Source organism: Homo sapiens, chromosome 18, assembly GCF_000001405.40.
Source record: "Homo sapiens chromosome 18, GRCh38.p14 Primary Assembly".
Taxonomy (NCBI): Eukaryota; Metazoa; Chordata; class Mammalia; order Primates; family Hominidae; genus Homo; species Homo sapiens.
This window is the reverse complement of record NC_000018.10, coordinates 48,120,944-48,138,609: the sequence shown is the minus strand read 5'-3', so window position 1 is coordinate 48,138,609 and position 17,666 is coordinate 48,120,944. Positions and strand designations below refer to the sequence as shown.

At 49.8% G+C, this 17,666-nt stretch overlaps 1 protein-coding gene across 18 annotated transcripts in view, besides 2 other annotated features; it reads left to right on the top strand.

Annotated features, from left to right (window-relative positions):
• ZBTB7C (zinc finger and BTB domain containing 7C) overlaps positions 1-17,666 on the top strand; it is a 385,914-nt gene that overhangs the window by 273,976 nt on the left and 94,272 nt on the right. The window contains exon 1 of one of the 18 annotated variants that reach the window (NM_001039360.3): positions 1,462-1,603. The exons of the other annotated variants lie outside the window; for them this stretch is intronic. The gene's annotated coding sequence lies outside the window, so the exon portion shown is untranslated. Of the gene's footprint in view, positions 1-1,461; positions 1,604-17,666 lie in introns of those variants that run through there. 18 annotated transcript variants of the gene reach the window in all.
• Positions 10,285-10,883: an enhancer, noted in NCBI's record as "H3K27ac-H3K4me1 hESC enhancer chr18:45654098-45654696 (GRCh37/hg19 assembly coordinates)". NCBI's record gives its function as "activates a minimal SCP1, AML or CMV promoter by ChIP-STARR-seq in naive H9 embryonic stem cells {active_cell/tissue: H9 hESC(naive)}" and the evidence as "EXISTENCE:reporter gene assay evidence [ECO:0000049][PMID:30033119]".
• Positions 11,938-12,232: a silencer, noted in NCBI's record as "tiled region #9251; K562 Repressive non-DNase unmatched - State 22:ReprW". NCBI's record gives its function as "represses a minimal TATA promoter and a strong SV40 promoter by Sharpr-MPRA in K562 cells {active_cell/tissue: K562}" and the evidence as "EXISTENCE:reporter gene assay evidence [ECO:0000049][PMID:27701403]".

Here is a 17,666-nt window from a genome sequence, read left to right as displayed (position 1 = left end):
GCAGCCTCTCCCCACCACATCCTGGCTGCCCAGCCTCTCTCTCCCCTCACGCAGCAGTCCACAGCCCTCTTTCCACAGCATGGAGGGTTTGACAGATGCATTCTAGTCTATTGTGGAAATGCCTGCTCCCCTGCCTGCAGCGGTGGGTATTTACAGTTTTAGAGGGAACCACAGAGAGAGACCCGACCTTTCCTGCCTTCCTGACACAAGTTTCCCTGCCTCTCTGGGGCAGGCTCCCTGCAGGGCATACCCCGAGAAGGAATGAATCTCTAACATTGGAATTTCAGGCAAGGGGCACCTGTTGGAGGAGATAGTTTTGTCTGAACCATCTTTCTGGGGCTCTGCAAAGCACAGCCTCATCCCTGGACCTTCATGGCCAATGCACCTTTGAGATTTACTTCTGGTTTCAGGATCCTTTAAGGCTCATGGCCTGCCGGAGAAGAGTGGCAGAGGCCATGGAAGGCCAAGCACCTCGTTGGACTCTTGTTTTGTGCTTATTTTCCATGGCACCGGGGTAAGATGATCAACAGGAAAGATTCACTCCCCTGGCGCTTCCCCCATTTCTGAGAACAGTCAGCAGAGGTATCAAGGCATTAAATGGTTATTTCCTCCAGGTGACCAGTCAGTTCCAGGGTAAAAGAGGCCTGACAGCACCCAGCTGGCCAGAGCCTCCCAGGTGGCAGTTTTCAAGAAGGCTCGAAGGAGAGGTTTGTGTGAGGTTTGAAGGAAAGGCCTGGGAGAGGGTGTTTGGCCACACCTCTGTGATTGGTGGCTGGCCCACCCCAGTGTGGACTGCCGGAATCTCCAGTTGGCATTTCTGAGTCAGCCTGCGTGATATGTCTGTTTGTTCGAGGGGAAGGGGTGTCTGTGGGTCCCACCCACAAGGTCTCATGATCTCCAACGGAGGAGGGAGCTGCAGTGCTGTGGTTACTTCCTGCACTCCCTCTTTTTTTTGTTACTTAAAGGATTGCTGTTTAGTGTTTGATTTGGTTAAGTTACACTCACGACCCTGTAAGGAGAAAACATATAATTCTAGTAATTTTATTGGGCTTAGGTTTCAGGCAAATGGAAATAAATTGCCTCTAAAAAGACAGACACGCTGAATTGAATAAAACAATAATAATAAAAAGCCTCCCTTGCTTTGAGATAAGTGGTAAGTCATTTTGTGAAGTACTAGAGAAGGAGAGTGGGGGGAAACCCACAAAAAACAAAACGGAGGAACCCGGAAGAAAAGAGGGGAAAAGAAAAGCTCCTCCACCGCCCTTGCCTTTATTTCTGCTTTACCTTTTCCAAAGATCTTAATTTGGTGTCATAAAGTGAAGCGTAACGCGCGAGTGGTGAGATCGTCCTGTCCTGCGCTTAACAGTACAGGTGGACCAAAGGGGCTCCCGGCCAAATACTTCTGGTTGGAGGGTGGGGAGGGAGTGCTCTCTCAAAACCACTCCTGGAATGGCTTAACTCGCCCAGCACGAATCAATGACAACCTCCCGCCGGCTGCGGCAGGCTCCCGCGAGCAGCGCGGCCGCGTGGATTCCCAGCCCGGGACCCTGGCGGCGCTCAGGACACGGCCCGGGCACGAGCGCGGCGTCCCCGGGGCGGCCAGGTGGGTCTGCGGCGGCCTCGGCCCGCCTCTGGGCTAGGATCGGGGCTCTGGGGAGCCCAGCGGCCGGGCCGTGGGGAGGGGGTGGGGGAGGAAGCCCTTCCGGGCGGCCGGGAGAGCGCTGCGGGCATTCTCGCTACGCGCTGCGGGGACCCTGTGGCCGGGTGGCCGCGGGGCGGCTCTGGCTGGCGCGGGTGGCGGCGTCCGCAAAGCGTTCAACTCCCCCAGCCTCGCCGGAGCTCCTGCGGGGCGTGGGGCCACGCACCTCTTCCGAAATAGGAGAGAGGATCTGGAACTCTGCAGAGAGCAACTCTCGCCACTGCCCCATTGCCGCCGGCCCACGCCAGCGGGCTCCTTTGGGGCGAGGGGCCAGCCGAAGGAACGTAAGGGCACTCCGAGAGGGAGTTGCGGGTGTACCTTGGTAGTTTAAATTGTCTCCCCCAAGAATGCTTGGTCCTCCTGAGAGTCAGATGCAAAACTTGGGGACGGGAGGGAGGGGGGACAAAAGCCATGGCAACTTGGCAAAAGTCGAGGGCCGGCGATACGGGCAGAAATTAAAGGAGCGATTGGCAGAAGTCCAGCTAGGCGCGCGGCGGGAGCCCTGTCAGGTCCCTGGGCTCAAATCGCGCGCTGAGCTGGGTGGGTGGGGGGCTCTTCCCTGGACTCCAACCTGGGGGTGAGTGGATGGGGAGCACTCCCACCCGAGCAGGCGAGTCGAGCTATAGTCTCTCAGCTCCGGAGACGGCCCGGTGTGGGTGGCGCAAAAGGACTGACCCCGTGCGTCCCCACTCCCGCGGGCGCCCGGGCCGGCGTCACCCACTGGAGCGCCTGAGTTCCTGCAGGCGGGCGCAGCGGCCGCGGGGCTGGCCTGGGAAGGACGATGGAGAGAGCTTCCCCCTAACCCAGCACCCACGCCCCCCTGCCCGCCGCCCACCCCGCGCGGAGCATCCAGCGTCGGGTCCCCCACGCCGTGCTCTGTGGTGAGGGCTCCAGGGTCGCTCCTTTCTGTTCCTGGCTTCCGTTGTCCTGGCTGTGTCTGTGCCGGCAGGCGGGTGGGCAGCGGGCGGCTGCCTTCTTTCTTTTAATAGCTGGTACCCAGCTTCGCGCAGAAGGAAGCCCCACTCCAGCGACTTATTGGTCGGCTAGTGGCAGACCACTTCCAGTTCTTCTAAATGCGGAATTTTGAAAATAGAAAGGAAGTGATTGAAACAATCGAGCAGTTTCTCCAGATGAGATAGAAGATTTTTTGGAAGGGGGAGGGGCGCGCTGGCTTGGAGGTGGTAAAGGCTCTGCCAGGTTCAAGTTTCAGCTCCACTCCCTCCGTTCCCCTTCTTTCACCCAGTTAAATCCTCTCTGGGCTTAGAAAGGCTCAGGAACCCCCGCTGGGTGAAACTCCAGGAAAGAAAAGTAGCCCCAGTGCCGGTCCTCCCCCCTTAAGGCACAACCTGGGCTGCATAGAAAAAGAACCCACTCTCCCAAAAAAGACTCATATTAGGCCACATCAGATATGAATCATTAGCCCCACTTTGCAGATGGGGAAACTGAGGCCCAAATGGGTTAAATACATTGTCCAGGTAGTAGCAGAGGCAGGATTGAAAGCCACTCATTGTACCCCACGTCTTTTAGAATCTTACACTTTAACTGCAGAGACAGGAATCGCCTTGGTATAATTATAGTACAACAGAAAATAGTATGTGTTACACTTAATATTAACTTTTTTTAATGTCATTTTCTTTTTAAACAATCAGTCATTTATTCAACGCTATTGTATTGTTTACTGTATGTGTCCAGGTACCATGCTAAGTGCTGGGCATACATCAGTAACTGAAATCAGACGAGATCTCTGGCCTCTGTCAATGGGAATAGTAATAGTAATAGTAATAGTGCAACCCTCAAAGGGTTGGATGAAGTGAGATGGAGCCTGGGAAGGAGCCTGGGAAGCATTGCTGTTGAGAAGCAGCAGCAGGAGGCCTGGATGAAGAGGAGGAGAGGGAGAAGGAAGGAGAGGAAAGAGCGGGGAAGTTAGAATGACTGGAGTCTCCATGCTGCAGTCACCAGGACTTGTCCCTGGTTCAAGGGGATGCAGTGGAATGCACACAGCACAGTCAGCCTCTGCCCCAAGTGCCCAGGAAGCTGTTTGAGCCCCTGCTGTTCAGATTATTCATTTAGGGTTTACAGTTGTGGGTTTCGAAGAGTCTGCACTTTTGGCACATGCCAGCTGGAGATGACAAGAAGAGGCCCAAACAGTCTCTGAGAGTACTGGCATCTCTCTCTGGATCAGTGCTGGCCGGGCTGAGAACTGTCCCAGGGTGTCACCCTGCTGATGCATCTGCCCACTTCCTCAGTGGCCAGGATGGCATTTTCATAGGACTCGAGTTTAGCTTCAAGCGCCTGCCCTTACCTTTGGGGAGGGAAGCTTGTCTACACTCACAGGACTTGTTGGTAGCAAAGCCAAGACTAGAACCCAAGTCTCTAGACCGTACATGGTTCACAGAGCAGCTCACTTTGGCCTTCCGGGGCGGTTTTAGGACTCAACTGAAAGACCCTTCATCCACTTACATCTCCACTTACAATGCCATTTCCTGAGAATCCTGTCCTCCTTCGTTTTAGCTGACCAGACATATCTGTCCTAATAGAATGGTGTTGGATGGATGTTTGAGACAGAGCAGCCATAAATAATCTGGGGCGTTTGGCCTGTTAACTCTCCTTCCATCCTGAATGGTGTAATAGGTTTAAGATAACTACCTCTAAAATTAACTATCACTTTTGTGAGGAAGGTGAACTGATAAATCTTGCCTTGAAACTATTACCCATCTGAGTGATGCTCTGGGACTTTCTTTCCCCAGAATTGTTACCGACTTCTGCTAGAAGAATAGTTTTTTTCTACTTCCTTTTCTTAAAAAAAAAAAAAAAAAAAAATCCTGGGTTTGAGGTCACAAGATCATATTGCATACTACCTTGATGTCGTGCTGCCAGAATAAAGGCATTTTCCCCCAATATTGAGATTATCAGCTTGATAAGGGCCGTGAGCACCCAGCTGGCTATCCCAGTGTTTACAGCAATTACACAGGTGTATAATTGCATGGGGATGTTTGTTTGCTCAGCCCTTGCTCAGCCAGGCAGCCCTACAGGTTGGGCCAGGGAGAGAGCTGTTCAGTTTATTTTCCTTTGGCTGGGAACTGTGGAGATGAATAGAGGGAGGGGAATCGGGTTGAGAGATTGTTGCCAAGAGCAATTTGGAGTCTCCTTCATATTAGTCAGAGATTGTGTTTTTCCTTTCTAAAGCCTCCTGCTTCATAGTAACTTCCACGGAGGATTTATTTTCCATCTTGTGTGTGTGTGCTTGTTAATTTTTGTTTGATTTTTAACTTGCTGCACTTCTCATGACTTAGCAAAAAAAAAAAAAAATAGCGTGGGGAATGTGTGATGACACAGGCCCTTTATATCATACATTCTGCATGTTATTGCTTAATAAATTTGAATACTGATAGACCCTGAGGTATCATGATGGAGTGAAATGAGTAATTCCTTTGAAGGGAGAGTTTATCTTCAGTGGATGACTTTCAAAATTGCAGCATAATTTCACTTTCCCACTGTACATCTTGATCCTGTGTTTAGATAAATAGAAATGCTTGCTCTCTTCTGTCATTTTCCCTTTTGTTCCATTTGGAAGGCCCCCTCCATCTAGGCCTTGCTTGGAAGGGGATCAGCTAGAGTGGGCCTCCTTCCACTTCATCCGCACCCATGCACCTCCCTCCTCCATGCCAGAGGCCAGCTAGTGAGAAGGAGGTTCCCCCCATGGGATAAGAGCTGCCCCACAATGGTAGCTTGGCTTGTGTGTGCATGGAACACAGAACAGGAAAGCTTGCATGACCACAGGCTGCCCCTCCTAGGCCAGGAACCCCGGAGCAAGCTGTAATTCATCAGTCAATAACTGAGTCCATCCACTGAACAAATTGAGTGGAGCAACTCTGAGACTCCAAACTTGAAAAATTACCTAATAATACGGCACATGATCTATGTCGGCTTTTCCAAATTAGATGCAAACCAGATGCAAATGTACATGTGGCCCTCCCAAATGATATCATATAACTGGACTTGGCCTTCAGGAAAATCTGTGCTGCCTACACATATGCGTTGTACACATACCTGCAGGGCTATTGCTTTCTTGGCTGTGGAGTCTGGCTGACAATTCTGTTAAATTGTTTCTGGAGACAACAGGTTGGTCCGTTGGTCTTTCTGGAGCCACTGGAAGAGGTCACTGGAGAGATGACAGTGGTCTCAGCTCCTGTTGACACTTGCCATCCATAAGCCCTAGGGAAATCTAGCAGAGGCTGCCTCTATTAAGCAGAACTTAAACAACAGAAACTTTTCTAATGTTTGTTTTGTTTCTGTTTTTCTTAATAAAACAGTCAATAAAATTTATTGAGATATAATTCACATAGCATATAATCCACCCATTTAAAGTGTAAATTCAATGGTTTTTAGCATATTTGCAGGGCTGTGTAACCATTATCATAATCAGTTTTATAGTATCTTGATTACTCCAAAGGAAATACTGTACCCATTAGCAGTCACTGCCCATTTCACCCCAAGCCGTCCTAGGTTACCAATAATCTACCTTTTGTCTCTATAGATCTGCCTATTCTGGACCTTTCGTATAAATAGAATCAGATAATATGTGGTCTTTTGTGACTAGTGTCTTTCAACTAACCTAACACTTTTGAGTCGTTAGCTTTGTAGCATGCATCAGTACTTCATTTCTCTTTATTGCTGAACAATATTCCTTGTATAGATACACCATATTTTATTTACCCATTCATAATTATATTTACCCATAATGGGTAAATCCATTTACCCGTGATGGATATATAGGTTGTTTCCATATTTGGCTTCTGTAAATAATGCTGTTTTGAACAATCATTTGCAAGTTTTTGTGTGGACCTAGGTTTTCATTTCTTTGGGGTATATACCTAGGAGTGGAATTGCTGGGTCATATGGTAACTTGATAGTTACCCTTTGGGAAACTACCAGAATGTTTTTTTACAGTGGCTGTACCATTAGACATTCCCACCAGCAGGTATGTGATGGTTCCAGTTTCTCCATATCCCCACCAACACTTGTTGATAATATGGCCTTTTTATTGTAGCCGTCCTATCTTTAAGGGTTTATATGCTCAAGGGAGCAGTAGCCAGGAAATATTCTGGGATCAGCTCAGCCATGCTTGCTTTCTATAGGTATAGTGAGAGCCATTCAGACCTCTTGAGCATCCTGCACACCCTGGTGTTTCCTTTGCATGTCCCAGAGCTCTATACTGAGCTTTCCCTCTATGTCCCTATAAGACAGTCACTTTGTATGGCTGAGTACTCTATTTCATGCTGATATTTCAGCTCCACAGTGAAATCATTTTATCCCAGTTTTATGCCTATGGGACTGAATAGGATAACTAACACTCTTAACAAAGACAAATTTGAGCCAACTGGCATGGGGGAACTCACCTAGTTTGAAGACTACCAAACATTACACACAAAAAAAAAAACAACTATCCTTTCATTAGAACATCCTAAGTCCTGGTCATTAGCCATTCTGTGGCATCATGTTCAGTGTAGCCAAACCTGAGGACCAGAAGTGAATTCCAGTGCTTCTTGGAAGTTATCGTAATGGAATTTGGCTTGTATGACCCAAGAGCAGCCTGGACTATGCTCTGCTATGAATGGACTCTTCACCATCAAATGGTGCTTAGTCCAGCAGTTCCTAAACCTGATTACATGTTGCAATCACCTATAAAGTCCTTTAAAAGATTTCAGGCCAGGTGCCATGGCTCACGCCTGTAATCCCAGCACTTTGGGACGCGGAGGCGGGCGGATCACTTAAGGTCAGGAGTTCGAGACCTGCCTGACCAATATGGTGAAACCCCATCTCTACTAAACATAGAAAAATTAGCTAGGCGTGGTGGCACGCACCTGTAATCCCAGCTACTAGGGAGGCGGAGGCAGGAGAATCGCTTGAACCCAGGAGGTGGGAGTTGCAGTGAGCTGAGATGGGACCACTGCACTCCAGTCTAGGTGACAGAGCAAGACTCCATCTCAAAAAAGTAAAAAATAAAAATAAATAAAAGATTATAGATGCCCATGCCTACCCAAGAAGTACTGAAGTTGAATCTCAAGGGAGGCCACCGGGTGCTTGGAGGTGATTGTGGTGAAGTCTGAGAACACTTTTTAACCTCTCTTTGCCTCAATTTCCTGACTTGAAATGGGGAGTTGGATGGATTACGCTGGTGTTCTCCACAGAGATTCACACAGCTGGCTCAAGCAAAACAGATCTGTGTGGATCTGGTTCTGCACAAAATTTTATTTATAAAAGGGGGCTTCTGCTGCTGAAAATGATTCAGAGAGCCTTTAAGTAGATGGTTTCTGAAGTTCAGCTTTGACCATTCTGAGTGTTGAGGACAATTTTCCCAACTTCTCGGAGGAGGATTAGCAGAGTCATACAAATGGCCGTTACTTGGTAAGACAGTCACGCTCTTCAAGGGCAAGGACCAGATCACCCGTGTTGTTGCCCTGGCTAGCTGTGTGCACAACTGTGATATGGTAGGATTGACCTAGCATCACTTTCTTCTCCCTCCCCACTCAGGGTCATCCCTGCCCACTTCCCTTAAAGCCCCCAGAGCTTTGCTCCTCTTCTTCTATTATTATTTCTAATAGCGGCCCAGAATGTCACTCATTCAACCAACTTTTCCCAAATACCTCCTGTAAATGACAAAGTGACTAAAGCTCCATTTCTGTCCTCAAATAATGCACCAGCACATTTTAAGCAGAGAAGCAGCCTGAGGTTAATCTCTAGAGGTACAATTTCAGGGCTCCTTGATTGGGATGAAGGAGGATTTTGGAGAGGCCTGCATTCACAGCACGTAGGTAAGGCGACTCCACCCCTAACCCTGTCTGCAAGCTCTGCTCCCTTACCCTCCCCTACTGGGGCTCTGCCATCAGCAGGCTGCTCAGAAAATGCTTCTGTCATCCCTGGTCTCAGCCAGAGACCGCCCTCCTCCTGACTCCCACCTGCTAGGGAGCAGGGAGGCAGAGGAGGGAAAGGGAGGGCCGGTTTATTCGGAGATCTGAGCTCCACACTCCAGACCTTGGCTTCCACCCCATAACCCTGACTGGACAATTCACAGGACAGCTGTGCTGTAGGGACTGAAATAATCACAGTTTATTAAAGCTGTCAGGGGGTGGGGAGGTGGGGTGGAGGAGGGACCAAGGGTTGCATTTCTGCCTTTCAACGAGAGAGAGGCCAGGTGAGGAAACTTGAGGCCAGGCCTCCATGCAGTGCCGTGCCCGGAGCCTCTCCCTCCCTTCCGGGCAAATGCACACACCAGTGACATTAGAGACACTGCTTTGGGGTGTTTTGAGAGTTTTTTGTTTTTCATTTTTTTAATAGAAGGAAAAACCTTGAAGTTTCACTTGAATAGGGATTAATGTCTCTGTGGCCTGGACCTGCAGAGGAGTAGAAATTCTAGAAGGGTGGAAGTTGCAATTAAAGGAAACAGGTCTGATCTGCCTCCGACTGATCAGGGAGGGCTCCTCAGTTGGCAGCTTTGAAAGGAACATGTTTGGGGTAGTTTTCTGGGCATTGCTATGTGGTTTTTTTTTTTTTTTTTTGGACTTTCTCTGGGTGTGTGTGTGTCCTCAGTTAATACATAAACATTGGTTCTAACCAGGAGATGGGGACATTGGGAAGTTATGAAGCCACCCTGAGTGTGTCTTTGACCTTTGGTTTTTCACCACTCTCCTTTGGCAGTTTTTTTGGAGGGCAGTGAAACGGGCGTTTGCAGCACACGTTTTTTCCCCTGGTATCTTCATGCTTTTCCTACACTGCTCAAATTCCTCTCCCCACCCGCTGAGACCCGCCCATCCAGGAATCTGTGTTCCGAAATCATCCCATCTAAGCTCTCAGCACCCTTTCAAACCCCTCACCTCATCCCCTCGTTCTGATGACCAAACCTAGTTATTAGGAAAATCCAGTTCTTTGCACGAATTCACATTAAGGTGTGGAAGAGACACTCACTACCACATGGTCCCCTTCTCAGGGTGTCTGTATTTGAAAGAGAGGGCTTACCTGCGCACACTTCTTTCTTTAAAAAAAAAAATTTATTTCAATAGCTTTTAGGGTACAAGTGGTTTTTGGTTACACGGCTGAATTATATAGTGGTGAAATCTGAGACTTTAGTGCACTCCTCACCCAAGTAGTATACATCGTACACAATATGTAGTTTTTTTTGTCCCTCACCCCCTTTCTACTCTCCCCCTTCTGAGTCTCCAGTGTCCATTATACCACTCTGTATGCCTTTGCGTACCCATCGCTTAGCTCCCAGTTACAAGTGAGAACATACAGAATTTGGTTTTCCATTCCTGAGTTACTTCACTTAGAATAACGGCTTCCAGCCCCATCCAAGTTGCTACAAAAGACATTATTTTGTTCCTTTTTGTGGCTGAGTAGTACTCCATGGTGTATGTATGCCACATTTTCTTTATCCACTCATTGGTCGATGGGCACTTAGGTTGGTTCCATATCTTTACAATTGTGAACCGGCCAGCAGACATTTCTAATGATGGGACTCAGGCATAAGGAAAAAGCAAAGTCAGGCACTCTGGGCAGTGCATGGGGCCAGTTGTTTATTTGGGGAAGGGGACTTCCTAGACCACTTTAATCGTGCCACATTTCTAGCCACTTGTGTGGCCGGTGCATGAGAACAGCCTGGCAGGCGGCTAAATGGAGAGGAGGATGAAGGGCCAGAGTGAGGGCACCTTGCGGGGAGCAGTCGGTTCGGGGCATTGCAGGGAGAACCAGGAGCTTCCCAAAGGTCAAGCTGAACTGGACAGCCCAGAGGCTGATGTTCAGGCAGGCAGGAGTGATTTCCTGTAGGCCTGTGGAGCTCTTCATGGTAACAGTAGGTATGACCCAGGGAAGGTTGGAGAACAAATGGAGCGAACATAAAGATGGAGCTTACGGGGTCCTCCAGATGACTCAGGCCTTGGGGAGGAGGCCCCTTGGCTGGGCTGGGCAGCCTCTGGCCGGCCCTTGTGGACACGCAGCTGTGGAGTTCTCAAATCTGCTGCCTCTTTCTCCCTCCCTTCTCCCGCCACTGCTCCCTGCCGAGGGGACAGCTTCTCTCCATGTTCCCTCCCATCCCTCCTCTCCCACTCCTGTGGCGCACCCTCTGAGTGAACCTGGCTCCAACTCTTGGAAGCTTTTCCAATAACACAGTGGTGAACTCTCTGCAGCCCCAGGCAGAGGAGAGGAGCTGAGCGTCGGCCAACCCCAAAGCCCACGCTGGGATGAAAGGTCGAGTGAGCCTCACGTGGGGAGAACCGAGGGGAGAACAGTGGGGCCCTGGGAGGAGAAATGCTGGCCCACAAGGCCTTCCTCACAACCAGTGGGGGCCATCGAAGGCGATGCCTCATCAGCAAAGACAAAGCAGCACCTACTGTGTGCGGACCCCATGCTGACCCCTGTAGGACACCCATGCAGGTCTTTGGCCCCTTCCTTCTAAAGAGTTGTCATCCATTTAGCCAGGTAAGACCAGAACTAAAAATGAAGCAAGATTCTGTAGAATCAGGCATGACATTCAGCTGAGTGGTACAAGAGAGACAGTGCTGTTCAGTGTCAGAGCAGGGGGAGGAGGTCTCGACCAAGGGCTCAGGGGAGCCTTCAGGGAGGTGCTCTGAGCTGGGACTGATGATGAAGCAGTATGGCACAGCCTCTTAGCACATAGGCTCTGGAATCAGGGCCTGGTTCAAGTCTTACCTCTGTCATCTGCAGGCTCCGTGGCCTTGGACTAGTTACTTAACCTCTCTGTGCTACAGTTTCCCCATTTGCAAAATGGGGATGGAGCCTCCTAGGGTTGATGTGAAGACTGAATGAGGAAAGCCATCAGTGCCTGGCCTGTTGTGCACACTCCATAAGTGGTGGCCTTCACCATTTACACAGAACCTTCACTGAGCCACGCGCATCTTCCTTCATTGCTCTTGCCCTTGAACCTTGAAGGTTCTCTTTTCCCTCCCCCTTTCCTCCTCCCTCTCCCATCTCTATTTCTTTTGCTCCCCCTTCTTCCCTGCCCTAAGGCTGCAGATGGTCACTCTGACCTGGGCCCAGGCGGAAAGGTAGAAGTCATTTTCTCTGTTTCCTGAGGCCAGCAAGACTTTAGATCCTCCACACAAATGCTCAGCCTTACAAGGGACTCCAAGAGGATTGCCCCTACCAGGTTGAAGAACTCCACAAACTCAGCATAGAGCTCTGGTCCTCCCCCCTTTCTCCCAGCACACACCTCTCCTCAGAGGGATTGATGAAACCCAAAGCAATGGAAGTGTCACATGCCATTCAAATAACAAGCCTGGTTCATCACAATGGCCCCACTGCAAGCAGGTGTCCCCATGTAACAAGAAGCCAATGAGGGCATCTCCCCCGGGGAGCTAGAATGGGCTGAAATTTTTGAGACCAGCTAAGCAACACACTGTGGAAGTCAGGACAGGCTGGAGTCCACAATCAGTTCCAGGTGATTGGATTCAAGAGCCACTGGGGGTCACACTGTCTAGGGCTGTCCTCAGAGCGCCGCTCTCATAAGGACAGAGGAGAGTGGTGCCCAGGGCTGTCTTCAAGCCCCAGGGTATCAGAGGGTATATTAAAGACACAGGTGTTCTGATGTGATTAATAAGACCCTTCTTAGACCTGTCTATGACAAAATCCTGGTCTGCTCTTAGACTAAATCACTTACCAATGATAGTGAAGAATTATCTCATAATGGATTTTTTAAAGTAATTATTACCAGAGACTGAGAACAGGTAATAATAATGGGGAAAGTCAGCCTGAGAGGTAATAAAGGAAAATAGAAAATACCTGTATGTAAATTTTTGAAATGATATCCTTTGAAGAAATCAAATGATATAAAAAATGATGTATCCCTGAAGCATAGTCCTGGCCAAATGTGCAGTACTCCCTGGGAGCCTGACTGCACGGTGCGCAGTGCTTCTCTACTGACCCTGCCGCCAGCATGCCAGCTCCCCTCCTCTTGGCAGGGCCCTTCCAGGATCACTTGCCCAAAGCACACTAGGTAAAGAGAGTTGCACGATGATATCTTGCATTCTTAGAATGCGTGGCTAGCGACCTCAGTGCAGCCACACCACACCAGACTTTATCTGCTGTACAGTGTCTCCTGGGGCTGCCCAGGCAGGGTTCCTGCCCTGGATCACCTTGTCTACTGGAGCCACCTAATGAGGGGCAAGGCAGACAATGTTAGGACATCAGAAGCCCTCCTGGTCTAAAAGTTCTTCCCTGGTGGATGGTGGACCCAGAATAAGGATCTGCCTGACCCCAAGACCAACTCCACAGTGCTTCACTGCGTCTCCAGCCATCATATTGTTATGGCCAGCACCTCTGTTATCCTTCCCCTGTCTGCTGTGGTCTGGGGAACAGGGTTAGCCGAATCCTGAAACAAGTTGCCATTTACACCATGGCACAGAGGGCTGTCCATGCACCCCATTAAGGGGGTTCCCTAGCAAGGCAGCCAGCCACCAGTAGCTCAAGCGTGCAAAAACAGATGTCTGTAAGCAGCCAGAGGGAGATGCACCTTTCAGGGCTGGGGCCACCTTCTTCCTACGGACACTATCTAGTCCAGAATTCCATTCAGGAGTGAGATCCCTTACACGGCTTCCACAGCAGGAAGCCCTTACTGGATAAGAATCCACTTAGATCTGGGTTCCCACCTCAGTTCACCCACTTTCTAATTGAGTCACTGTGGACTACTTGGAACTTCTGAGTCCCAGGTTGTTTATCTGTTCAGTGGGATAATCATAGCTGTCCTCTGAGCTGATGAGAAGATCAAAAAGATAAATTATGCGATATATCTAGCACACAGTAGCTGTAATTTTGAAAGTAGTTTTTGACTCAGAGCTCCCATGCAGCAAACCTCTGCCCCTCCCCTGCTTCCCAGTGGCCCCTGCATTCTGCCTGTGACCGTGGCGTTTCTCCTGCCACGGCTGATGAAAGCTGAGGGTGTGGCTCAGCAGTTGCTGCTCCTGCCTTGACCTGGCCCTAGACTCCATCCTGGCTGTCCCAACTGGCCACCGCTGCTGTCCTCAGAGCAGAGAGGTGGAGAGAGGGGAAAACTGCAAGGGGCTTTCTCCCAACCAGTGTTAAAATTCTGCCTGTCCATTCCCAAAAGCTGTCCTTGCTTTCCTGCTTTCTCACCCACCCCTGCTCCTTGAGGAACTGGAGCCCCCTGGGCTGGCTCAGATAGCACTTCACAGACACCAAACCAAAAATGCCAGCCAGCATCCTATCAGGATTCCTGGGTCTCAGCTACCTGAGGGTGAGTGCTCAGCCTTAATCCCATGGTGCTGGAACTGTTCAGCCCACCATCTCCAAACCCCTGCAGGTGCCCAGAGACCCTAGTAATCCTCACAGAACAGCAGGGGGCAATGCAGATTCACCCCACCCCCTTCCAGCTGGCTCCTCTGTAGTAATAATGAACTTAATATACGATAAACAATAACTGAGTAGTAAAAGCATGTGCAAAAGATAATTAGTAACAAAACACCATGGTTCTCAAAGGTGGTTGGTTGCATTTTGCTTGGCTCTAAGGACTGTGGTGCAGATTCTATTCCAGCATGTGCTGTTGACTTCCAGGAAAGGTACCTGCTACTCAGTGTCTCCTAATACATTCACATGAGGGACCCATTCCCACCGCCTGCCATCCCAGGCTTGCCTGAGGGTTGCAGTCAGGCAGACAGACTGCGGGCTTTGTTCGGCTTTTTCATCATCTCCAGAGAATCCGACATTTCTAGGTAGAGGTCACCATGCCCCAAAGTAACTGATGCCAATTAAAGGGGCCCAGCCTGCCTGGAGAGTTGGGGAGATAGTACCCAGCCTATGATCCCCAGGTCATGGGGTTAACTTGACAACTCAAATGATTCCTCACAGAGAGCTTTGCCTTAATTGGCATATTTCCTGGCTGGCTGAGCCCTGCAGGAAAGAAACCATCTCACTGTCCCCAGGCTACATCACCTCTTGTCCATCAGGGACCCCAGAGCTGAACATCGAACATAAAATATGAGAGAAACAACCCTTCACATTAACAAAAAAAAATCGTAATATACATGTTTATGTTTACAATCTCATTAATAAAAATATACACGATCATTTCTAAGGAGAGCTCTTTTATAAGGATGCATCCTGCAGCACTTACTTCTATATTCACCATTCTTATACTGCTCAGAGCCTGAACTACAAAATTAACCCTGAATGTTGCCATATGACTGACTTTTCAGTATTGTTTTCCCTGTTTGAAAGGCTGGGTTCTCTGGGCAGCCGACCAGGAAGCAGTTTAACATGCAGGATGTTTGTTAGGAGTGTTCAGGGGATCAACTCCTGCAAGAGGCAGGGGGAGGGAGGGAGTTGCTGCAGCAATGCCAGCCCTACCACTTATGCCAACCCCACAGGGACCTCTGGGGCTGAAAGGGCCTCTTCAAGTTTGTCCCAGCTTGGGCCAAAACGCCCAGGCCTCTGACGCCCTGCATAGTCGCTGAATGTGCGGTTCTTGGAAGGCGTGACTTTGGGCCAGGTGGCTCTCTGCAACCCTGAAGGGGCTGTCCTGAGCTGAGGGCTGAATGCTGACCTTGCTCCCAGCAGCTGGGGTCCCCATCTGGGTGGCTCATCTCTGTGCCCTCTGCAGCCTGGATGTGACTCATTTTTCTCATTCGTTTGTAAACTTCCTAGAGGGAGGAAGTATATCCTATATTGCTTTCTCTGTCCCCCTTTCAACCCCTATCATGTGATCACTTGATGGGTGATCACAAAGCAATCAGTGATCCACATGGAGGTACAGCCATAGGCATCAGGCTTGCTTGCTCTCTGTGTCTGGGGGCAGCTCACCCAGGTACCCACAGCTGCCAGGAGAGAGATGCTACAGCCCAGGGTGTCAGGCCCCTCCAGACAGAGCCCCAAGGACAAGTTCGACCAGCCCCATAGATCCGCATCCCCTCCTGCAAGGAGTCAGAGTCCAAGAGGGAATATTTCAACTTTCTTGTGTGTGTTGGGAGTGGGGGGCGGTTAGAGTGCATGCAGTACATAAGCAGCTCCCATCTGGTCTGTTCATTCACTCATCTGCTCATTCATTCGTTTGCTGAGCAGCTACAATGGTGCTAATAGAGTGGAGGCTCAGGTGTGAGCAGTTCTTCTTCCTCCTGGGTTGGACTGAATGTACAGCAGGACAAGAATCCCGGAAGCCCAAAGTAGCTAGTTCATTCACTGGGAAGGCCACTCCCCACCACCTGAACTCCAACCCTTGCATTTTGCTGCCCATTTCGGATACTTCACCAGAGCCTGTTGTAACATATTAAGTCAGTAATCACAGGGATTACTGTGATCCCAGCCCTCACCAGCCTCAGCTGCTCTGGGCCTTCTCAGAAGAATTGGCTGCAACCATCTGGCACCATGAATTTAATGGTGCCTCTTGCTTGGAGGCCTCTTATACAGGGAGCTTGCACGTGGGCAGGACAGCATGATAGTCTCTGCCCTCCACCTCCCTCATACCCTACTGCAGCACCTGTGTGCCTATAAAATAAAGATGAAACAACTACATTTTCATAACAAAAGAGAAAAAAATGACCAACAATCAGCCAAAGGTAGGAAAATGGTAATATCAATTGTCGACCATCCATTCAGTTGAATATTATACGCCATTAAAATAACAGATCCAGACACTGTACAGCACCATGGACTGGGTTCTGAGGCCCTGAAGAACTGTGCTGCCCACACCTCTGTGCCTACACTGGGCTGTGCTGGCATTGCTGTTGGTCCAAGAAGATCTCAGTTTCCATAGCCTCTGAGAGTTTTGGTCACAGCAACATGAACAGCCCGATCTAGATGGCTCCAAGCTCAGCTGGCTCGGCTGCAGGAGCCTGGCACCTCCTCCCCAGACCTGCAGGAAACCTTCTGTTATGCTGTAAGTCACCAGGGACTGCAGCATGTCACTGGGCCCCAGGCACAGGTCAGCTCAGGCCTTAATGCTGTATCCTCCACATCCATGGGTCTCTGCTGCTGCTTGGTGAGAACACTGTCTCCCCTAAAGCCATCCTGAGCCCTCAGGACACCAGAGCCACTCTGTGCCCAGCACAGCCTTTTCCCTCTCCCTGTACCCACATTGTCATCAGGGCCCAGGTCCCCCGCAGTGCTCAGCCTCTCTCCTAAGCCCTTATTTTACAGATGGAAACCTGCCTCTCAGGCCAGGTGATGGCTCACACCATCAGTCTTGCCATCTCCTACCTGTACCCAGCCTCTCATTCAATCCAAAAGCCTTCATGTGAATTGCTGCCCATCAGTTTCACATGCTGCTAAATCCAGAATCCCATTTGCCCTAGGGAGACACCCTCATAGAGCCACTGTTACTGCAGGTATGTACCAATGGGAGGCATCTCATCCAGGCTCAGAGGGAGCTAAGAAGTGGATACAGGGTCAGTAAAGTGTGGGGGCTGGGAGTAGTTCTAATGTGTACATCGCTTAAATTTGCCTTTAATATTTTGGTACAGTAAGTGCATTTTTTTAAAAAAAAAAAAAAGAGTATTAAGCCAACTTGAAAAGATTTGTAGAAGTTTTGAGACACACAAGAGCAGCTGGGACAGCATCCCATCCCTGGGCTCTGATGACAGTGGAGGGACACAAGCTAACTGTGAGTTGCAGTCACATGATGTCTGACAGTTGCTTATACAATGGTTTTGCCACCAGATGGGTATTCCACCTCCTCTTCCTCCCCTACCCACAATTCCTGGGTTATGGCCTGCTGATGGCCTGGATCTCTGTCTTCGAGGGACAGCTTTCTTTCAGCTGGAGTAGAAGCCTGGGAAGAACAGTGCTCATGGGCATGGCTCTGCAGGGAGCGCAGGAGTAGGTGTGAGAAGTGGCTGCTTTCCCCAAGACCAGGGGCAGCTCTGGGGACTTGTGCCTGCCCTGGAGTCCTGGCAGAGACTCCTGAGGCACCCACTTACTCTCTTGGTACCTCCCAAAATCAGTCGGC